Below are 24541 nucleotides of genomic sequence, written 5' to 3' on the forward strand. Positions count from 1 at the left end.
GACGGGTGGATCACCTGAGGTCAGGAGCTCAAGACCAGCCTGGCCAACATGGCGAAACCTCATTTCTACTAAAACATACAAAAATTAACTAGGCGTGGTGGTGCGTGCCTGTAGTCCCAACTACTCGGGAGGCTGAGGCAGGAGAATCACTTGAACCCAGGAGGCGTAGGTTGCAGCGAGCCGAGATCGCACCACTGCAATCCAGCCTGGGCAACAGATTAAGACTCTGTCTAAAAAAAAAAAAAGAAATTAATATGGACATGTATTTTCATCAGCTCACATATGTATGTATCACCTATTAAAGTATTATGTGCAAAGTTCCATGGAGTTATAATAAAGATGAGAAAGACAGTCCCTGTTCAAGAGCTCACAGACCCAGTTGAAGGAAACACAAATATATTACTTTATAAACATTTGTTTTAAGCCCATAGGCACAAGAAATATAGCATGGATGCATAAGGGAAGGAAACACTAATTCCAAATGGAGATCTGGAGGTGGTGGGATTCAAATGCAAACAACTAGCTCATATTTTCATGAAAATGGAAAGCTCATGCTTGAAATTTGGTCTCTCCTTTCCTTCACTTTTACATAAATCTAGCAGAGTGGTAACGAGCATAGGCTTTGCAGTCCCAGAGATCTAAGTTTTAAGTCCTAACTTCACCAGTTCTCTTGGGCAAGTTACTTAACTCTTTGAACCTTGGCTTTCCCATATGTAGAATGGTGGTACCAACAGCACCTAGACCTCACACAGTTGGCATTGAGGATTAAATGAGATTATGTGTATAAAGATTAAGCACAGTGCTCTCAGCACACTATAGCACAACTGTAAGAGCTCAATGTTACCTATATGTTCATTTCTTAGTCAATTTCCTAAATATACTTGAATTACTTTCTTTTCCAGATTGAAGATTAAAGAAATAAATACTTTATTCTCATAAAAGAAGCCAGTACATTTGTATATACTGAATAATAAAATGCAGGTTGTATATAAAGGCATGATTTCTATTCCCTCTACTACTGGCATTCACACGTGCTGCCAAAATAGCACAAGGACTCTGTTTTCCTAATCTTGTGGCATAAAACACAGTGATTTCACTGTTGAAACAACTTACTTCTTTTTTCATCCATAATTTTAAAGCAGTATGCAGTGCTTTCACTCCCTGTACTAGGTAAGTTTGAGGCTGGAAACCATCTTCTCTCAGTTCTGTAGGAATGGAAATGGGGTGAGAAAAAAAAATAGTTAAAATGTTCTAAAGTTAAAGGGATTAACTTCAGATTTTGAGTAGCCACCAAATATAAAACTATATAACTTCCAAATTAATAAAAATATAAAAAGTGAAATATGAAACAATTCAAAAAGACAATAAAGAAACAGAATTACATTCAATGTAATTTACTAAATACTCCAGTTAAAAGAAAGGCCATTTCATTGGATTTAATTTTTTTGTGTAGAGATGGGGTCTCAGTATGTTGCCCAGGCTGGTCTCAAACTCCTGGCTTCAAGCAGTCCTCCAGCCCTGGCCTTCCAAAGTGCTGGGATTATAGGCATGAGCCACTGTATCTGGCCAGATTTTAAAATAAGTTAAATATGCACACATACCATATTAAAAAATATAGAAAGGTTTCAAATAAAAGGATGGGAAAAAGATACCAAGCTTCCAAAAGAAAGGGGGTGTAACTGTCACTAATAAAGGGTTATTTCATAATGACCAAGGATTCAATTCACCAGAAAGACGTATGTAACCACTTAGAATTTGTACTCAATAACATAGTATTGAAAATATAGAAAACGCCCCTCCCCCTTCCCCTCCCCTTTCCACGGTCTCCCTCTGATGCCAAGCGGAAGCTGGACTGTACTGCCGCCATCTCGGCTCACTGCAACCTCCCTGCTTGATTCTCCTGCCTCAGCCTGCCGAGTGCCTGGGATTGCAGGCGCGCGCCACCACGCCTGATTGGTTTTCGTATTTTTTTGGTGGAGACGGGGTTTCGCTGTGTTGGCCGGGCTGGTCTCCAGCTCCTAACCGCGAGTGATCTGCCAGCCTTGGCCTCCCGAGGTGCCGGGATTGCAGACGGAGTCTCGTTCACTCAGTGCTCAATGTTGCCCAGGCTGGAGTGCAGTGGCGTGATCTCGGCTCGCTACAACCTCCACCTCCCAGCCGCCTGCCTTGGCCTCCCAAAGTGCCGAGATTGCAGCCTCTGCCCAGCCGCCACCCCGTCTGGGAAGTGAGGAGCGTCTCTGACTGGCCGCCCATCATCTGGGATGTGAGGAGCCCCTCTGCCCGGCTGCCCAGTCTGGGGAGTGAGAAGCGCCTCTTCCCGGCTGCCATCCCGTCTAGGAAGTGAGGAGCGTCTCTGCCCGGCCGCCCATCGTCTGAGATGTGGGGAGCGCCTCTGCCCGGCCGCCCCGTCTGGGATGTGAGGAGCACCTCTGCCCGGCCGCGACCCCGTCTGGGAGGTGAGGAGCCCCTCCGCCCGGCAGCCGCCCCGTCTGAGAAGTGAGGAGCCCCTCCGCCCGGAAGCCGCCCCGTCTGAGAAGTGAGGAGCCCCTCCGCCCGGAAGCCGCCCCTTCTGATAACTGAGGAGCCCCTCCGCCCGGCAGCCGCCCCATCCGGGAAGTGAGGAGCGTCTCTGCCCGGCAGCCGCCCCGTCCAGGAGGTTGGGGGCAGCCCCTGCTCGGCCAGCCGCCCCATCCGGGAGGGAGGTGGGGGGCAGCCCCCGCCCGGCCAGCCACCCCGTCTGGGAGGCAGGTTGGGGCCAGCCCCCGGCCAGCCAGCTGCCCCATCAGGGAGGGAGGTGGGGGGCAGCCCCCACCCAGCCAGCCGCCCCGTCCGGGAGGTAGGGGGCGCCTCTGCCCGGCCGCCCCTTCTGGGAAGTGAGGAGCCCCTCTGCCCAGCCGCCACCCCGTCTGGGAGGTGTAACCCAACAGCTCATTGAGATCGGGCCATGATGACAATGGCAGTTTTGTCCAATAGAAAAGGGGAAAATGTGGGGAAAAGAGAGAGAAATCAGATTGTTGCTGTGTCTGTGTAGAAAGAAGTAGACATGGGAGACTCCATTTTGTTCTGTACTAAGAAAAATTCTTCTGCCTTGGGATGCTGTTAATCTATGACCTTACCCCCAACCCCGTGCTCTCTGAAACAGGTGCTGTGTCCACTCAGGGTTAAATGGATTAAGGGCGGTGCAAGATGTGCTTTGTTAAACAGATGCTTGAAGGTAGCATGCTCGTTAAGAGTCATCACCACTCCCTAATCTCAAGTAATCAGGGACACAAACACTGCAGAAGGCCGCAGGGTCCTCTGCCTAGGAAAACCAGAGACCTTTGTTCACTTGTTTATCTGCTGACCTTCCCTCCACTATTGTCCCATGACCCTGCCAAATCCCCCTCTGTGAGAAACACCCAAGAATTATCAATAAAAAAATAAATTTAAAAAAAATAAATAAATAAAAAAAAATAAAACATTAATAGTACAAGAAAAGTAAAAAAAAAAAATAAATGTCATACAATATTTTTATCATAAAAAAAAAAGGCTTATACACATATGAAAAAAACTACCCGATTCTATCAATAATCAGGGAAATGCACATTAAAAGCACAAAGAATACTACTTTATATCCATGAGATTTGCAAAAATTATAACCTAACAATACCAAGTGTTGGCCAGAGCATAGAGCTTTGGGAACTCTCTTGCCCTGCCATGGAAATGGGAATTGGAAACAATTTGGCAGCAACTGCTAAATTCTACCTATGACCTAGCAATTAGGCCTGTTTTCTGGAGTAATTCTTGTACTAGGTGACAAAGACAAGAACTTCTTAGCAGCATTTTCCGTAATTGTCAAAAACCAAAAATAACTCCAAAATGTCAAACTTGCAGAATCAGTGTGTGTGTGTGTGTGTATATCATAGTATATTCATACAACAGAATACTCTAGCAATGAAAAAGAACTACAGCCACACACAAAAACATGGATGAATCTCACAAACAATGCTGAGTAAAAGGTTACAAGAGAATACCAGTATGAATTTATTTGTAGGAAGTTTACAAATGGAGAAAATTAAATTATTTTAGTTTATAACACAGGTGATAAAACTGAAGAAAAGTATTAACACAAAGGTCAGGATAATGGTTATCTCTAGAAGGGAAGCGGAAAGGTGTAATGAGAAAGGTAACAGAGCATTTCTAAGGTATTGGCAAGGCTGTTTTTGCTTAATTTGGGTGGTGGTTACCTGAGTAAGAACAGCCTTATTCTTTACACGGTATGAATGTGTGTGTGTGTATGCAGTGCGTGTGTGATCTATATAATCAACTATTTTAATAACATAATAAAGTAAATATAAACACACATCAACAAAAATGTCTTGAGTTTTTTAATCAAATTGTGATAATCTAAAACAAACAAAATATATTAGATGTGGTCCAAAATTCAGCTAAGTTGAAACAAAGGATTTCGCTTCTGCACAGTGGCTAATTTCCTTACACAAATCCAAACTGGTTCACTGTTTTACTATCACTGACATGAAACACAGTAAAGAGTTTCAGGTGATTCAACCTCATTTAACCCACCATATAAGCCTTAGAACAGTCTGAGAGCTGGCAAACAATAGGCCACAATGTAAAGTAAAAAGGTTACGGATAAAAGAACGACATAATTTGGGGTCACAAGACCACTATTCCTGTTTCCAGGATGAATGCTTAAAATGATGGCAATTGCTATAATGATCAATTGGCTTTTGCCTTGATGAGACTGGATTGAATCACTATGATTGCCAGGTATTCTACACTGATCTGGCTAATAAAATGAAACATCTTAAAACAACCCACAAATACCCTTTTCTAATAATCCTTTTTAAAAAAGTCTTTAACGTATGGTCATACTTTCAATCAGACCTCCATGTTTCTGAACTTTTGATGGCCTAACACAAAGACTAAATAGTTCTAAGACTAAGCAAATTGCTCCTGTGGCTTCACGAGCAATGGCAAGATTTTGTCTTTCAGGTAAAGCTCTTAATTTGTTTTAAGAAGTTAAAGAATGAGCTTCTCTTAGACATTAGTAGAAAAAAAAAAACCACTGTGCATCACCCCAAGGGTAGAGGCGTGTGTGTGTGTGTGTTCGTGGATAGTTTCTCCTAGCTAACCATAAGACAGGAACTTGGAGTCTTGGGACAGAGAGAAAAGAGGGGAGAAAGTATCCTGAACCAAGTATAGAGTTGTCAATCTCTTAACCAGAAGGTTCAATAGTTGGGATTTATTTCCACAAAACAAGGAAATTTGTGTTTTTATAAGTATATAAGTGTTCCTGTCTGTCTAGGCTTGTACTTAAATGGGAGACTATAAACTCTATTGTCCAGTATTTTACTGAAAATTATGTATGACACTCTACAGTCCATTGTGACATTCCCACAGCCAAGAAAAATAACTGAAAACACTGAATGTGTCAGGGATTCACGATAAGGATTCATTTCTGGAGCAAAGACTGGTCTTGTAAAGAAAGGACCTGTCTCCTTCTCATGCATGGGATTCTACCCCTATCCCATACACCAGAAGCACTGCCAGGACATCTCTGCACTATGCTGTGAGGTGGGGGGTTTAGGGTACCATTGTTATATGAGTTTTATCATTTTAGTTCTGTACATCCTATCTTGGGAAGTAAATTTTTGGTTATTTCTTTTCATTTTACCTTTTCTTCTTGTTTAACTTTAAAATGGAAAAAGAAGCAAATGTTCACAATAAACTTTACTGTTTAATCTGTTTATGTCTATTCTGAGAGTTGTCAATTATAATAGTAGCACTATTTACAAACTGACTAGAAAAGTTAGACAACACAAAAAGCAGACAAACTATTCTCACTAGCACAAGAGGATGAAAAGCAGAAAACAGAAGCAAGTGACATCAGTCTCCAACTTGAGTGCTCAAAGATAATTAAACCAAAAGATTAAAACATCAAAGTCTGAAATTCCACCTTTTATAAAGTAGCTTTTGGGTTCAACTATAAAGACAAGTTCAAAAAAGGTTTTTTTTCTTCAACTACAGAATCATAACCTGACTTTTTTTTTTTGGAGATGGAGTTTTGCTCTGTCGCCATTGCATGATCTCGGCTCAATGCAACCTCTGCCTCCCGCCGGGTTCAAGCGATTCTTCCTGCCTCAGCCTCCCAAGTAGCTGGGATTACAGGCATGCACCACGATGCCCGGCTAATTTTTGTATTTTTTTTTTTTTTTTAGTAGAGACAGGATTTCACCATGTTGGCCAGGTTGGTCTTGAACTCCTGACCTCAGGTGATCTGCCTGCCTCGGCCTCCCAAAGTGCTAGGATTAGGGCGTGAACCACTGTGCCCAGCCTAGTTTGCTTTTTTAAAAGCAAATTTTGGGAACATATAATAGGTAACAGTCTCTTGACATAAACTGCATTTTTGAGAGTCAGGCACTGTTACGTGCTTGATGATGTATGCAGGCTTCTAGAGGACTAGATGGAATGAACATTTCTAATATTACCTACGTTGTTCTGATCCAGGTCTTTCATAACAAATTTTTAAGAACATGGATTGTCAGGTTATGGACTAAAGACTCTAACTTGCTAAAAAGGTTGCTGGATGGGGGAAAACCACTTATTTAAAAAACAAAATAGGAGTGACATCCATACACTACTAGAAAAGGGACTCTTTCTGTCAGGTGGCTATGAGTGAATTTACAAACAATATGCATCATATCATATACAAACATGCAAATTATTAATTACCTTTCAGGGTTTCCAGCAAGTTTTTGGCTACAAACCAACATATGGCTTCAAAGAAAGGGAATTTGAAAAGATCTGGTGTTTTTAGCCTTTTCTCCATCTCATAACACCTAAATGAGTTTGAAGAAATTTTTAATATTAATATTAGAATTTCAAAGTTAGATGAAAGTAACCAACTGGAAAATAAAATAACCAGGTCATGATATGTAAGACCAATAAAGTATTTTACATTTCTTAGCAACATCACATTTGGACAAGACTGAATTGTGATCTTATCCAGGTTCTGACTTTAAGGAATTTGATGGTATACTTAAGAATTGTATTGGACTTCACAGAAGATCAGGATCACACTTTGGGATTTGTATCCTGGTTTTAACAAAAGACATTTTTACGAGGGTTCTACTACAATAAATAAAACTGTGTGTTTCAGAAAACACCTCTATGTGTTAGACAACAGTGCAATACCCACCCAAAAAAGTTTTATTTAGGCTCCACTAGGCATTCCAGCTCAAGACCACACTTGGCAAGAATTAAACAGGAGCCATCCCTCCCTCAGGGACAGCTCAGGTACAAAAAGACAAGATCCACACTTGGTAGGTGTGGGAGCTGTTTAAGGCTGCTTAAAGCCTTATGCCCTGTAAAAGCCACTATCTCCCCTAATAACGCCACACACAGATGCATAGCTTCTAGGGATCTCTATGAGTGTGCCAAGTTACAAGAGTTACCACATTCAGGCAAGTCCAGAGATATGGCTTCTTACTAGGTATTTCTAGTTCTCCCAGTCCTGATGCAGTTTATCAATCAGGAATCATTTTTACCATAAGCAATGTTACCTAGTAAAAGTCAACACTCATTAGACTACTAGGAGAAGAGAGTTACGCAAAGGTCAAATTCTCATATAGAGGAGAAACAGCTATTAATCCTTTACCTGCAGCAAAATTAAAGCAGGTGTTTTGATAGCAGTCCTGACTTACGGTTGCTTTTTTCTAGCACCATATGTCACATCTGAGTCTGACTAGATTTTGTTCATCTCCCTCACTGCAAAAATAGCCAAAGAAGAACACATACATTTTCACAAAATTTTGAAATTTGGAATATTATCTGAATAAGTTCCCTTTTGTTGTTGTTGTTTTAGATTTGAAATGCAAATTATCCTCCTGGCAAAATTTTAAAATACTACTTTTGTTAAAAGCTTCTATCCCTAATAATATCTCAGGGACTATTTCCATGGAATCTCAAATAAAATAAGCTATTGATTTTTTTTAAGTTAAAAAAAAAAGTATCCTATTTTTAAAAAGGACAAAAGGTCATTTAAATACTGATGACACAAACCTGAGCTGCATGCCAATGTTAAGGTTGTGCAGGAAGTTCCCCCCAAAAGCCATACAGTCCTGAGAAGTGAGCACAGCATGGATCCACCCTAAAATGGTTGAAAATATATAAACCAGTCATTTTTCAATATGTAAACTAAACCAATAGGATATCTACCTGTGAAGTAACTCAAAATATCAATATCAGTTTACTTCATATTTCAGTGCTAGAGAAGTTAATGTTTATTACAATCTATAGATTTAATTATTTATTAAATGCCTATTATATGGTAGGCTCTATGCTGAGTTTGAGAAATAAGGTGACGGTTTTTGTAGTTGTTACTGTATTTGTTTTTTTCTTTTTAAAAATAGAGATGGGGTCTCACTTTGTTGCCCAGGCTGATCTCAAACTCCTGGCCTCAAAGTCATCCTCTCACATTGGCCTCCCAAAGTGCTGAAATTAAGGCGTGAGCCACTGTGCCCAGCCTGTTTTTGTTTTTTAGCTTAAAAACACAACCCAACTTTATATTAAAGATTTTACTCTTTGAGACCAGCCAAATCTGGTTTGAATTAGAAAAGCACATTTTCCATTAGAGAACACACTGGGATTGATGGGACACTCCATCGCCCTGGTGTCATCCTGAAATCAGTGCCCCGAAAGGACTAAGCAGAGGAGGATCAGAGGAGTCAACCTGAGACCTGACTCTGTAGAAGGAAAAGGTAGATTACTCACATTTAATTATGAAGGGTTATGGTCCTACAAATATAGGTGTTGCCAAAAAATGATATTTTGTATTCCCATACAAATGCTTACAAAGTGAAAACCATTTCTAAGACATGACGTCTAACTTTTGAAAAAAATGTTGGCAGACTTCAAGACTTCACCAGAAATAAATACAAACACATATTTGTATGCAAATTAGCTTTTAAAATACACAAATCCCGTTTTCTTTGTATTTTTCATCTTTTGACCCCTCACTGAACTGTAACACAAAACAAAAAACCCTCAAAGGACTCACTTTCAAGTGTGCCCATTGCTGTGCTCAAAGGCACAAAGCCTTGAGCTTGACCTTGAAACCACAAATTAGCAGTCTGTGCCAACTCCAAATCCTACACATCAGTGGTTCTCAATAGCGGCAGTACTGCCTGTTCAGGATGTTTTGGAACGTTTAGGGGCTTTTCTGATTGTCACAATGATCTGGGAGCACTACTGGCATTTTGTGAGTGGGAGCCAGGAGTACAATATGTGAGACAGTTCCATACAAAATGAAATTGTCCTGCATCACTCGGGACTGCCAAATTTTCCTGCGCATTCATATAGGTACAAAGCCTGTCCTATTAACTATCTGAGCCTAGAAATTAGAACTCCATTATTATATATTATTATATATATCTGTATATACAGACACCCACACACAGTATATTTTCATGGTTTTGGCACAATTTCCTGAAACACAAAAACTGTACTGTAGTTTGGAAGCTTATCAGTCACTAACAACCTTGGGAAAAGAATTACATTGCCTACAGCAGTGGTTCTCCAAATATGGTCCCCATACCAGCAGCACCTGAATCAGCCAATAACTTGTTAGAAATGCACATTCTCAGGCCCACTCCAGATCCACAGAATCCGAACCTTGGCCATGACGTCCAGCAATCTGTGTTGTAACCAGCCCTCCATGTGATTCTGATATTCCAGGAAGTATCAGTACCTACACCAGTGCTACTGATAGAATTTGTGTTGCCACTGACACACACCTAGATTGATTTCCTTCCTTATGCAATTACTATTTCATTCTGTTCTCTAATGCTGCTGTGCCTAGACAGGCACATACTGAAATAGCATTTCATTATAAATTACCTTTTTATTTCTTCTTTATATTCTAGTTAGGACATTAAATCAATTTAAAAAATTATTCTATGAATGTCAATTTATGATTTGAAGAATCATAAATGTCAATTTATGATTATATTAGAAATACCTAACATAAAAGCAAGAAGTAGGAAGATTTAAGGGAGGGGCATTCACAATGTGAATGAGCCCATTCACAATGAAAATACTGTTACTAATCTAGGCAAATATTCTGGTAGTTCTAAGGCATGTCTTCATTTATTCAACATACATTTGTTATTATATACACCAGAGGCAAGGCTTTCAGCAGGACCTGCAGGGACAGATCCCTGTGAACTTTACAGTCATTAGGGTCACCAAAACCAGCACACAGTTCTCGAAACCACTGGTCTGGACAGTCTATACTCTACATTCATTTACATCTCAAAATGAGAGGCCTGATACCTATACTTGAGGCTACAGCTAAGGCTGATACTCAGTCCTTTCTTTGAGGGTCTCTCAAGACACACCCTATGCTGTCCTAACTGTCCTGGGACAGCAGCCCAGATTCTTACAGGCTTGGTTTTTAACAGCAATGGAGAGCTGACCATAGTTAAGACTATCAAAATTAAAAACTTTTGTGCATCAAAGGATATTATCAAGAAAGTGAGCAGATAACCCACAAAATGGGAGCAAATTATTTGCAAATCATACATACTGATATGGGTCTAGTACAGAGAATAAAGAATGCTTACAAACTCAACAATTAAAAAGGACAACCCAATGTTAAAATGAGCAAAGGGTTTGAATAGACATTTCTCCAAAGAAAATATGCAAATGCCCAACAAGAAAAATGCTCAGCATCATTACTCATTAAGGAAATGCAAATCCAAATCATGACACATCACACCCACTAGAATAGAATAGAAGGCAATTACAGCACTGGTGAGGGTGTGGAGAAACTGGAACCCAAATACACTGCTGGTGGTAACGTAAAATGGTGCAGCCATTTGGAGAACGGGTCAGCAATTCCTCAAGAAGTTAAACGTAGTTAAACCATGTAATGCAGCAATTCTACTACAAGCTATATTTACCCAAAAGCAATGAAAACATACCTCCACATAAAAAACTGTATACAAATGTTCGAAGCAGCACCATTCAAATAGTCAAAATGTGGAAACAACCCAATGTCCACCAACTGGTGAATGGATAAACAAAATACGGTAAAGCTGAGTACCCCTTATCCAAAATGCTTGGAACCAGAAGTACTCAGATTTCACATTTTTTTTGGATCTTGGAATATTTGCATTACATACTTACCAGCTGAGCATCCCTAATCTGAAAATCCAAAATCCAAAATGCCTCAGTAAGCATTTCCTTTTGAGGGTCATGCAGATGCTCAAAAGCTTTCAATTTTGGAGCATTTCAGATTTTGGACTTTTGCATTAGGGATGCTCAACCTGTATATCCCACAATGGAACATTACTGGGCCATGAAAAGATGAAGTAATGATACATGCTACAACATGGATAAGCCTAGAAAATAGTATGCCGGCCGGGCGTGGAGGCTCACGCCTGTAATCCCAGTACTTTGGTGGGCGGATCACGAGGTCAGGAGATTGAGACCATCCTGGCTAACACGTGACACCCGGTCTCTACTAAAAATACAAAAAATTAGCCAGGCATGGTGGCGGGCGCCTGTAGTCCCAGCTACTTGGAAGGCTGAGGCAGGAGAATGGCACGAACCCGGGATGGGGAGCTTGCAGTGAGCCGACATCAGGCCACTGCACTCCAGCCTGAGCGACAGAGCAAGACTCTGTCTCAAAAAAAAAAAAAAAAGTAAGAAAATAATATGCTAAGTGAAAGAAGCTAGACGCAAAAGCCCACATATTGTATGATTCCATCAACATAAAGTATCCAAAGAGGCAAATCCACAGAGACAGAAAGTACATTCGTGGTTGCCAGGGGCTCAGTGGAGGCGGGAATGGGAAGTGACTGCTAAAGAGTATGAGGTTTCTTTTTGAGACAATGAAAATGTTCTGGAATTAGATAGTGGTGATATTTGCCCAACTTTATTAATCTACTAAAAACCACTGAGCTGTACACTTTAAAAGGGTGAATATTGTGGTATGTGAATTTTTTCTCAATAAAAATAAAAATGAAGGCAAATGATATAAATACAATGCCAAAAGAAGTCCTAACTAGAAGAGAAACCCTCTAAGGAACAAAACATAAAAGTCCAAGATCAGAATTATTTCTTAACAAATGTCATAAAAACTACTTTCCAAACATGTTAAAGCCAGAGGTTCTAGTTAAAAGCCAACTCCATGTGACTATCAATCATGTTGAGTAGGGGATGGGATGAAAACCTTACCTGTAGGAACAAATAAGGTATGTCCCTGCTTTACCACACATTTGTAGCATTTATCCACCTTATCTCCAAAGAACACCTCACTCTGGGTCACAGATGAACTCCAAGATTCATAACGTGCCAAATTTTCATCTGTTGGCTTTATTAAATAAAAAATCTTCTCACCCTAAAAGGAAGTATCATACTATTTTTGAAAAAGCAAAAGCCATACTTAGGATAGCCTACATTGATGCAATTTCTCAATACAATGATACAAATTAAATTGGATAATTATCAGATTCTTTTAGGTTCAAAAGACATATTTCACACACCTGATCAGTAGCTATTGCCCTTAGTAAACATTTTCATGTTTAAAGCTCCCCCTCCTCAACTGACAAGGAGTCAATAAAGTAGTGTTGAAGAAATAGCTGCAAGACAGGAGGGCAGAGAAGCACAAACATCCCACTGACCTCCTCTCATTGTCAAATAGAGAAGTAAATATGTGTTGACAGGCCCACAGTCATCTCTGCAAGCTTTGCCCTTTCTACTAAGATCCACAGCATAATTATTTTTAAAAACCTATAAATAAGCTTCCTTTAATAAACTAATTCTTTGCTACTTCATGAAGGAAAAAAACAGGAACCCAAGGACCCAGCAACAAATATAGCCCAGAACATTGCTGAGGCACAAGCATTTGATATAGATGAAGACTGACTTTCTACATCAGTACTCTCCAATACAACTTTCTGTGCTGATGGAAATTTTTTGTATCTGTGCTAACCAACACAGTAGCCATTAGCCACATGTGGCTACTGAGCACTTGAAATGTGCCTAGTATAAACGAGGAACTGAATTTTTAATTACATTCCATTTTAATTATTTAAATTTAGTCACACATGGCTAGTGGCAACTGTTTTGAACAATGCAGCTCTAGATAAAGCAAGGTGAATATAAATTGCAAATAACTGGTCTTTTGTTTTGTTTTTTTGAGATAGGGTCTCGCTCTGTTGCCCAGGCTGGAGTGCAATGGTGCAATCACAGCACACTGCGCCCTCAACTTCCTGGGCTCAAGTGATCCTCCTGCCTCAGCCTCTTGAGTAGCTGCGACTACAGGCATGAGCCACCACACCTGGCTAATTTTTTAATTTTTACTTTTAGAGACAGGTTCTTGCTCTGTTGCCCAGGCTGGAGTGCAGTGGAGTGATCACGGCACACTGCAGCCTCAACTTCCTGGGCTCAAGTGATCTTCCTGCCTCAGCCTCTTGAGTAGCTGTGACTACAAGCATGAGCCACCATGCCTGGCTACTTTTTTTATTTTTATTTTTAGAGACAGGATCTCGCTCTGTTGCCCAGGCTGGAATGCAGTGGTGCAATCACAGCACACTGTAGCCTCAACTTCCTGGGCTCAAGTGATCCTCCTGCCTGAGCCTCTTGAGTAGCTGTGACTACAGGAATGAGCCACCATGCCTGGCTAATGTTTTTATTTTTATTTTTAGAGACAGGGTCTCACTATGTTGCTCAGGCTGGTCTTGAACTCCTGGGCTCAAATAATTTTCCCAGCTTGGCCTCCTCTCAAAGCGCTGGGATTATAGGTGTAAGCCACTACACCCAGCCAAGAACTGGTATTTTTATAGGCATTCCTGACTTATCCAACAAGCTATCCTAGCCCAACATTAAGGCCAGAAGCAATTATTACTGTAATTTTGCTCCTTCACAGATATTTAATTCAGGGATTAAAGGATAATTAACTAGGGGAAAAAAAATCAAGAAGAGACAAAAGCCTAAAAGAAACCAACTTAAAAGATGAGGGCAGAAAGTAAATCTAATATAAATTTAAAAGTCATGGCTCTTCCATTATTTGAGATTAAAAAAAAAAATCGTAACGTTTAAAGGCAAAGTGACAGTTCCTGGTTAAAAAGTAAAAAAAAAAAAAAAAACTTCCCCCTTTACAAGTAACATTTACAAGAAATGAATATACCACTGAAAAACTAGGGCTATATGTTTTTGTCAGTGAGAGAACAAAAAATACCCCAATCTTACCCAGAGGACATGGTACCAGACTGAAGTTCCACCGAAGTCAATGTGGAAATCTGTATAGCTGTCTTGAACTCCCATTAAGCAATATTTCTGAACAAATGGCTTGGGAAAGACTGAATCATCTGGCCAATAATTTTCCACCCAGGAAAGTTTTTTGGCTATATCAGGGACCTCCACCAATTCAGACATCCTTTCAAAAAACAAACATACACACACACCCACATCATGCAAATTAAAAATTCTTAAGAATTGTTTTTCTCATCTATTCCCAAACCAAATAATTAAATGGAACTTAAGGTTAACAACAACACTTAAAAGTTTAAAACACATGTTTGTTTGTTTTTGAGACAGAGTCTTGCTCTGTCGCCTAGGCTAGAGTGCAGTGGCGCGATCCTGGCTCACTGCAAACTCCATCCTGCCGGGTTCGAGAGATCTCGTGCCTCAGCCTCTCTGAGTAGCTGGGATTACAGGCATGTGCCACCATGCCCAGCTGATTTTTGTATTTTTAGTAGAGAGGGGGTTACGCCATGTTGGCCAGGCTGGTTTTGAACTCCTGGCCTCAAGCGATCCACTCGCCTTGGCCTCCCAAAATGCTGGGATTAAGGCATAAGCCACTGTGCCCAGCCAAAAGTTTAAAATACATCTTATTTCTAAGTATCTCTGAGTGTCCCAATGCAAAATTTATAACATTGCTACCACTGGACAACTTTAGAAGTCACAACTATGTTTCTTCCTAAAATAAATACATCATTACACTACATTTAGCTAACACTCAGAATGCTAAACCAAAATACCCAGAACTACTCACTTTGTATCTGAAAATTCAAGGCTGATCACATTTAACACTTTTGGTCTGTTAGGATTCATGAAGTATTTAACATAATTGTGAAGTGTCATTTTGCTGTCTGCCTGCCTCGCCACATCAATGACATCTATCACTTTGTCACCACCTGCAGAGAAAAATTACAGTCTTATTATTGGACTTAAGAGTTACATCAGCAGATGCTCTAATCAAAAAATATTTTAACTTGGTATGATAATTAAACCAACTATAAAACTATGTAGTCTAGACAAATATTTTCCCTATACTCTTAATTTCTCAAGTTCAACTGGACCTTTCAGGAAAAAAGGGACATTTTTCAGAGGAAAAGGAAAGCAGTAAGACAGAGCTGCACAATTTACACTGAATATAAAAGTGTATATGGCTTACAAAGCTTTCTGTATACTAATGATATCTTGGTGTACAGCTCATAATGACAAAAAAATACATTATATTGGCATGTAGAAATTGTGCAACACTGTCTGGATTTCAGTTTTCTCAGGCATAAAATGAGGAGACTGACTTTTCCCTTTCACTTTTGTAACACCTAAAATATTCTAAGGCTATCATTTCAAAAAAAAACACATCACTCATTGGGGAATTAGCATGCAAGTTGACCAGGATAATTTCTGCCCTCCTGATACTGTCTTCTAATATTCTCCTTTAAGAAAAAATTAGTGATTGGGAAGCAAAAATCAGTTCACATTAGTACCAGTGTCCGAAGGCCTGAGTTCCAAATTGTGATTAATTTACAGTTTTCGTATAAACCCATGAAGTGGTGTTTACAGACCACTGCACTGCTACACTAGGAAGCATAATTAGTTTGACAATGGACTATGGGATAAGGTAGAATTCAAAATATGGCAATACTTAACCAATCTGAAATAGAAAACAAATAAATGCCATTTTCTTACTTTAATGCAACTTCATATAGGTTAAGAAAGTCTTGCCTTATAGACTTCTTTATCATCAGGAGGCAACACGGTTCTGCTCATAGTATTTAACTGAAGTGCTCTGCAGTACCAAAAAGTTAGCTATCAAGCAGTTTGAGCATTTTTTTCCTGCACATGTATTACACTAGCTATTTGTTTTGCAGATGCTATCTACGCAAATAGGTTCAGGTTAATCCTTAGCCCCATCCTCTCACTTGTCAAATATTCAAATTTAGCTGAATGTGAAGTTACAATACTTAGTTAGATTTCCTCAGTGAAACAATAATCAATGAGAATTGTCAACCAATGGCTCGATAAAGGGACAAGTTCTCAGATATTCCATGCTGAGGAGATAATATAGTAAATATACAATTTTGAGTCAAAATAGATTTGGAATCTAATCTCAAATATTCTCTATCTACTGCTGACAAGAAATGACATCTACATATAGTCAGCTTTATCTGTAAATATCACGAGAATTAATGAAATGACTGAAAATGTCAACAACATGGCAAGGGGTATAGGGGATCCCCCTTATTTCTCATGTCTTTCTGTTTCTTTGGGGAATTTTCAAAATCAAAAATTAAGTCCAGACATCATTAAATGGCAATATTCACCAAGTCATTATTATAAAAACAGATTTGAAAATGATCTGCTCTTTTTACCACCTTTCCTCTAAGCAGCAGCAGGTCACAAAGCAGACTCCAGAGGACTAACTGTGCAGCTGGTGTACTGGGATCTGGGAATTTTGCACCTGTATTCTACAGATGCCTACAACCAATCCAACTTTCCAATATCTTCTTCCTGGTATCTATATCTATCCCTCAGTAATGATTTTCCCTAAGCAAGTATCAGAGAACTTAATGGCACAAAAGAAAGCAGCAGGATGAAGCTGAGTAAATAAAATCAAGTAAATTGTCATTCTGTTTTTCTGACAGTTGTAGGTCTGCTGAGAAAAACTAGTTTTCAATATAGATGATACTGAGCCTCACTTTTCTGAGCAGAAAACTAAATTGACATTTCTTCATTTAACCATTAATATTACCAGGACTATCATTTTTACTTTTACCATGTTTTCCCAGGTACTTAAAGAAATAAAGTTCGTACCTACATAACGTTCCACATCCATCACAGAAAATGTAGGTGAAGGGAGCCTGAGTCCTAGATCATCTAATTTTGGGACCATAATAGGGACATCAAATCCATGTTTCTCCAGATATCTTTGTGTCAGCTGGCTGCCATGCATCTTTATAATTATTTCATCGGCACTAAGGAAAAACATAAGAATAAAAATGTCATTTTTATTGGTAAGGTCAGTTTAAAAAAAATACGGTAGTGATGGGTTAATTCATATACTGGATTATCTATATCAGTGGTTCTTAACCTATCACTTCTCATTCTTTTAATGACAAATGTTTTGTAAATCTCCTTTTGCTATCCTAAACTAAAATTTATAGATAATGTAATATACACAATTCAATACATATAATTAGAAATATATATAAACTGGTCTAAATGCAAAAAGAAAAAACCAACCAGTTTATAGTAAAATATGTACAAGTTGAGTATCCCTAATCCAAAAATACAAACTCTAAAATGCTCCAAAATCCAAAATGTTTTGAGAATTGAAGAGCTCACTGGAGCATTTCAGATTTTCCGATTAGGGATGCTCAGCTGCTAAGTATAATGCAAATATTCCAAAAGAAAAAAAAAATCTGAAATCATTTCTGAAACACTTCTGTTCCTTAGCATTTTGGATAAGGGATACTCAACCTGTATTTTAGTATGTAAACTACACTAGAAGACATCATAAAATAATAGGATGCTTACAACTAGTTGTAATGAACGGTTAGATTTAAGTTAAGTAGAAACACCAGAAGCCACTTGATACAGGATGCGTAGAAATTTGGGAGAGCAAAAGGTAGAGTGTGCATTAGAATAAAAACTAGTCAGGCCAGGCACGGTGGCTCATGTCTGTAATTTCCAGCACTTTGGGAGGCTGAGGTGAGTGGATCACCTGAGGTCAGGAGTTTGAGACCAGCCTGACCAACATGGTGAAACCTCGTCTCTACTAAAAATACAAAAATTAGCTGGGTGTGGTGGTGGGCATCTGTAATCCTAGCTACTTGGGAGGCTGAGGCAGGAGAATCGCTTGAACCTGGGAGACGGAGGTTGCAGTGAGCCGAGATCTCACCATTGCACTCCAGCCTGAGTGACAAGAGCAAAACTCCACCTCAAAAATAAATAAATAAAAAATAAAAAACAAAAACGAGTCAGATTTTATCTGACTATAAAATTCTACACAACTATCTAAAGTCTAATGGAACATAGAACAATTAATTCTTGTTCTGCATATTGAAAGATGACTAGCATCCCTGGTCCCCACCCACTGAGACAAGTGTCCAAAATGCTCCCATTGACAACTACTGATTTAAATGACCCGTTACAACCAGTATTTAATAAGTCTTTTTTTTTTTTTTTTTTTTGAGACAGAGTCTTGCTCTGTCGCCCAGGCTGGAGTGCAGTGGCGTGATCTCAGCTCACTGCAAGCTCCGCCTCCTGGGTTCAGGCCATTCTCCTGCCTCAGCCTCCCAAGTAGCTGGGACTACAGGCGCCCGCCACCACGCCTGGCTAATTTTTTTGTTTTTGTTTTTGTTTTTTTTAGTAGAGACAGGGTTTCACCGTGTTAGCCAGGATGGTCTTGATCTCCCGAGCTCATGATCCACCCACCTCGGCCTCCCAAAGTGCTGGGATTACAGGCGTGAGCCACCGCGCCAGGCCTAGTAAGTCTTAATACTAGGTAGTAACTTTAAGCCAAGAATGGTTGGATCTCCAGTTGCCCTCTCTGATGATCAACACGTTACAGGCATTACATTAACATAAGTGGAGTTTGTCCCTTTGCCCACCAGATCTCTTCCAATGGGGCATTCCAGTTTTTAATCTCCCAATTGCTCTACAGCTGCTACACATTCAAAATTAAGTGTGACACTTGCCTTAAAGGTTAAAACACAATAGTCTCCACTTATACAATCAGATCTTAACTATCTGATGTCATCTGCTGCCTAGGTAGCAAGAAGACAGGAGATGCTGGTTCTCTGAATTACTGGGCTCTGATCTTCCCATCCTCTCGTAAGGCAAGGGCAAGCCTAAGGCCTAAGAAAACTGAGAGTCCTTTCCTAGATAATCTTGTTCTTCTTCATTTGACTCATCTACTGAACTGGAGCTCTGTATTACCTCTTAGTTTCCCCAATAAGCATCCACAATTGTCCCTCCTTCCCCCAACCTCTGAGGATTAAATAATTCCTTCAACTTCAGTCTAAGGGAGAATTTTAAATCACTTGTATTCCCTGATCTCACATGTTTGGTGTTTTATTTCCCCTTTTGATCAAACATACATAATGACAAGTGTTTAAAATATAGGTACATTTTTTGCAAGAGGAAAATCTGGAGACAAACTAAACATATATGGGGACGGTTAAGCAAATTATGGTACCTATAGATTACTACATACCTCACAACATTTAGGGAGTGAGGCAAATCTATGCATACATATGGAAGGATATCTATGAAACATAATAGAGTAAAAAAGGCAAATTGTACAACACTATGCATAACATAACCCCATTTTAAGAATATTATGTATATCCATACATCCATATACATAAATGTTTTAATGTTTTTATGTAGAAAAGGGTCTCAAAAAACTTACACTAAGTCTTAAAATAGGGGAGGGGAAAGATAATTCATTCACTTTATTTTACACACCTCTGTGTTAATCATATCAAGCATGTGTAATTTAATAATTACTGCTATTCTACTATGGTTTGAAATGATGTAAAGCTTTGTGGCATTAAAACCCAAAGACCCTGAACTAATGGTAATTACATTTTGGACATTTGTGATCATCTCTATAACCCGTTCTCATTTGTGGTCACTGGCAGGCAGTAAAGTCACATAAATTATTAGGCCAGTGTTTTTAACACTACATTTTTGTGTCAGAAACCTATTTAGAAAAAAAAAGAAAGCTATAGCTCCTCTCCCTGAGAAATGGACACTCCCAACTGACTCTAAATTATACATACCATTTTAGGGAGCTCACAAACCTCTCTTAGACCCACCACCAGAAGCAGACTGAAAACTTTGGGCCTAGGTGCCAAACCAATCAAGCATGAGCCAATAAAAAAGAAAACACGCAAACATTTATCCTACAACTTGGAAACTGATAAAAAAGAATATTTGCGAATAGGGTATTTAACACCACAAAAATCACGTGGAAACACTACATTTTAAATATGTGTTCTTTCTGTCTCTCAACAGACCTGAGGGAGCCAACAGTAGATACTTACCATTATATGTTTCTGCATAAGGATTAAGGGGCAGGGGGCTAGAGAGGAATTCTAAAGACTGAGGAGAAATAGCAGGGGTTTTATCGTTTCAGGATCTGAAATAATTCCATAATAAGCTGCATGTGATACTGTGATTTAAATTTAAATTGTGCTTCCCCTCTTTAACAAGCCTGACTATGATCTTGTGTAAAAGCCTATTAAGCATTATCACTTGAAATAGATGTCAGGCAGTGAGTAGGAAATGATCTAAATTAGCATGATTAAATGCTTTATAATGCTTTCCACTCTCTTTGAGCCAGACAACTCAAATATATTCCATTATTTTTTAAAAAATCAAAAAGCCCACCCCTGCAGTGGTTGTGTGTGCTTCTGGTGGATGTAGGGCAGAGATGCATATAAAAGCAATGGAGAAAAAGCAGAGTTGGGAAAACAAGAGAAGGTGAGGCAAAAGAAACAAAACAGGTAGCAGCTGCATATCATAAGGAACCAAGTACTGGGAACAACTCCCTCAGATTAGTGTATTTCAAACTTTTTGGACTGTGGCCCACACTTAAATGTTTTTACAGGGTGACCCAGTGTGCACATAGATGTAACAAAAGTTCCATGAAAATATGCTTACTTACTGCTATTTCTTGGAATGTACTGATACTTTTCTATTTCGTTAAGGAAGAAAAAAGGTGAAAAGCTGGCTGAGGACAATAATGGGTTGCAGCCTAAGTTTGAAAACATTGCCTTTATATAATGTCACTCTATGAGACGACATTCTTACATTCTTACATTTTCTTTTATCAGAGTAAGTTTCCATACCTTGGGAAGACTCGAGAGCGTAATTCCTTAATGAAAGTTCTAGTTCCAGCTTGCACTGGTTTGGAACCATCATCAATTTCTGTGTAGTCATGTCTGTGCCAGTTCCTCCTTTTTTTCACTGGATTTTTAAAAGATTAAAAAAAAATGATTTTGGTAACTGGTGATACTATGTGATTTCTAATCATTATATCCGACATAATCAGAAATAACAATTGTAAGTACATTAAAAACACTCAAGTTTTTAATGCATTTCCAGGCCTGAGAATTTTGCTTAATGTAATGCTGCAATTACAGACAATTAACTGTGGATTTTTAAAACCTACTCTTTTTATTTCAAAACATATAAAATTAAAGCAACAAATTCAAATCAGCAGATGGAGCCTTTTATAATGTCCACACTTATAGATACTATACAATTTCCAAATTATATACAATTATGATTTTCATCAGAACATTAGGTCCTAATATGATTATCCAGATAATCCAAATCGTCTTCTCAGGACAGGGCCTTTTATCTCACATTAGAAATCTATTCTAATAGCATCATTCCTTCCTCTTTCATGTGAAGACTTACTCCCTAAATAAGCACAGTTACACTGACATAAAGAAGAGCAGGTGACTGAGTCATAATTAAAGAAAGACGGGTAGCATGACAAAATACATAACTTCATCATTTATTCCAATGCTAAGACCCTGTAATTCTACAGCTCTGGAAGGCTATGACCTTGAGTAGTCACAGCAATCGAAATCAGAAGATTTGGATTTGATTCCTAGTTCAGCCAATAGCTTTCTCTGCAATCTTGGGCAGGTCACTTAACACCTATGGATCCAGATTCCTCAATGTAGGAATGAAGGGGTGGATTAAACTGCTAATTTTCAAACTGTGTGGAAGAACCCTTCACAAAGGGGAGATGGGGAAAAAGCCAAGGAATGATCTCTGGACCTCATTCCTCTTTCCAGCAGAGTGGCACTACCTACAGCTCTTGTGTGTTGTATCAATGTACAATTTCTGTTTTAAATCTTTTTTTTTTTTAAGCTTGAAAATTACTCTTAAGCCTAAAACCTCTATGATTCTGGAAAATGTACTGATATCTGCAATTTATTTAGAAACGCATCAAAAAAATAAGATGGGTAGACAGCAGAATAGTTACATGGATAGATATGTGTTAGAGCATGTAATGAAAATGTTAATAGTAGAATCTAGATGATAAGGCTTATAGGTGCTTGCTGTAAAATTCTTCCAATTTTTCCTATATGTTTGAACATTTTCACAATATGTTTTGGGGAAAACAACTTTATGATTCCAAGTTATTTTAAACCTTTTCCACCTTACAAAGATCACAGTAATACAACAACATTGGGTCCTCATGTCGATAAGAAGTCACAATAATTAACAGAGGTGGAAATCAGGCTTATTCAACTATCTAAGAGTCTAAAACAAGATTCCCAAGTAACTTATGGCAGCCAAATCTTCAATATGGAAGAGCGTAAGTCCCATTAAAAAAAAAAAAAAACAAACTCACAAAAATTTAGAATCACAAAGCAAACTTCCTAGGAAATTCCATTAAAACATCCTTTGCATGTTATTTTTTCTCATTTAAAATCACTCCTAAATTTGAGTGTATTTCATTCCAGATTTTTTCTACTATATATAGATACATAACTCCTTTTTTTTTTTTTTTTTGAGACAGAGTCTTGCCCTGTTGCCAGGCTGGAGTGCAGTGGCATGATCTCGGCTCATTGCAACCTCCGCCTCCCAGGTTCCAGCAATTCCCCTGCCTCAGCCTCCTGAGTAGCTGGACTACAGGGGTGTGCCACCACATTCGGCTAATTTTTTGTATTTTAGTAGAGATGGGGTTTCACCATGTTGGCCAGGATGGTCTCGATCTCCTGACCTTGTGATCCGCCCACCTTGGCCTCCCAAAGTGCTAGGATTACACGTGTGAGCCACTGCGCCCAGCCCATAACTCCATTTTATCTTCAATTGGGATCACAATGTTTATCCTGCTTATCTTTCTTATTATATAATGAGCATTTTCTTTTTATTAAATATTTAAAACAGACTACAATTTTAAGATGTAGATATACCATATTATAATCATTTTTTGATTCTTAAGCACTTAGTTCATTCTGAATCTTTCTTCAAAGTTGAAATTCATGTTTGTATATATTAATGTTTCCCTGATTAATTCCTCAGAATAAATTCTAAGAAATGCTAGAAAAAAGACCAACATTTTTAAGATAATTGCTACATATTACAAAACTGTCTCCAAAAAAGTGGTACTAGTAACTTACTTTCCTTACTAGTATTATATAAGAAGCGTATTTCATACCCCTGGGTTAACAATGGGCATCAGTACTTAAAAGAAAAAAAAAAAAAAGGCAGCCCATTTGATAGGTAAAGTATGATATTGCATTTTTAAGTTTTATTTCTTTTTTAAGACATGGTCTCCCTCTGTCACCCAGGCTGGAGTACAGTGGCGCAATCACAGTTCACTGCAGCCTCAAGCTCCTGGGCTCAAGCAATCCTCCTATCTCAGCAACCCCAGTAGTTAATTTTCATTTTTGCAGAAGAGATTAATCAGTGAAGTGCATCAGCTTTGGAATTAGACTGCTAGGGGTTCAAACTCCAGCTCTGCCAAATAGCTACATAAAAGGGCTAGCTAGATCATTTTTCTCATTTCTCACATGGAGTTGTTATAAATGTCAAAGAAGATAACATAGGTTAAGTACTTACTTACCTACTATAGTGCCTACCATGTAATAAGCTGCCAATCACTATCATTTCCTTTTAAATGTGCTGACTTGGAGGAGGTTAACAGAAGGATACAATTGTCCTGTTGGGCCAACATGCTAACCATAAAATCAGCCACTATGTAACAGCTGATTGAATTTCTTAAAGGAAGGAGGTCAGTGAAGGAATATTTTAGTAATGGTTAAAGGGAAAGGAGAAAATTTTGTGTTTGGATTGCATGTGCCTAAAGAAGACAGAGAATACATATTTAAGTTATTTGTGGGCTGTTTTTTGATACCTGCCCTCAAATAGAGTTCTTAATTCCCAGTAAGAGGGTAAAGTCTAAATTCACCATATGAAGTAGTTATTATACTGGCTAAATGGTATCAATAATAAGGACTCCTAGGGAATCTCTGAAACCAACAGGAAACCCAGGTAGCAAGTAAGACAGGCCTAAGAGGCCAGGCGCAGTGGCTCACGCCTGTAATCTCAGCACTTTGAGAGGCCGAGGCGAGACCAGCCTGGCCAACATGGTGAAACTCTGTCTCTACTGAAAATACAAAAATTAGCCAGGTGTGGTGGCACACAACCGTAATCCCAGCTACTCAGGAGGCTGAGGCAGGAGAATTGCTTGAACCTGTGAGGC

At 39.0% G+C, this 24541-nt stretch overlaps 1 protein-coding gene across 3 annotated transcripts in view, besides 1 other annotated feature; it reads right to left on the reverse strand.

Annotated features, from left to right (window-relative positions):
- KDM7A (lysine demethylase 7A) overlaps positions 1-24541 on the reverse strand; it is a 92238-nt gene that overhangs the window by 27632 nt on the left and 40065 nt on the right. For 2 of the 3 annotated variants that reach the window (NM_030647.2, XM_047420879.1), the window contains exons 3-10: positions 21162-21279; positions 17116-17276; positions 15065-15206; positions 14260-14446; positions 12244-12406; positions 8065-8152; positions 6736-6842; positions 1114-1205 (exon numbers count right to left, since the gene is read on the reverse strand). In NM_030647.2, the coding sequence (NP_085150.1) occupies positions 1114-1205; positions 6736-6842; positions 8065-8152; positions 12244-12406; positions 14260-14446; positions 15065-15206; positions 17116-17276; positions 21162-21279 (1058 nt within the window). Of the gene's footprint in view, positions 1-1113; positions 1206-6735; positions 6843-8064; positions 8153-12243; positions 12407-14259; positions 14447-15064; positions 15207-17115; positions 17277-21161; positions 21280-24541 lie in introns of those variants that run through there. The other variant, XM_011516587.3, reaches the window with a different exon arrangement.
- Positions 12989-13489: an enhancer, noted in NCBI's record as "H3K27ac hESC enhancer chr7:139825166-139825666 (GRCh37/hg19 assembly coordinates)". NCBI's record gives its function as "activates a minimal SCP1, AML or CMV promoter by ChIP-STARR-seq in primed H9 embryonic stem cells {active_cell/tissue: H9 hESC(primed)}" and the evidence as "EXISTENCE:reporter gene assay evidence [ECO:0000049][PMID:30033119]".

This window comes from Homo sapiens, chromosome 7, assembly GCF_000001405.40.
Source record: "Homo sapiens chromosome 7, GRCh38.p14 Primary Assembly".
Taxonomy (NCBI): Eukaryota; Metazoa; Chordata; class Mammalia; order Primates; family Hominidae; genus Homo; species Homo sapiens.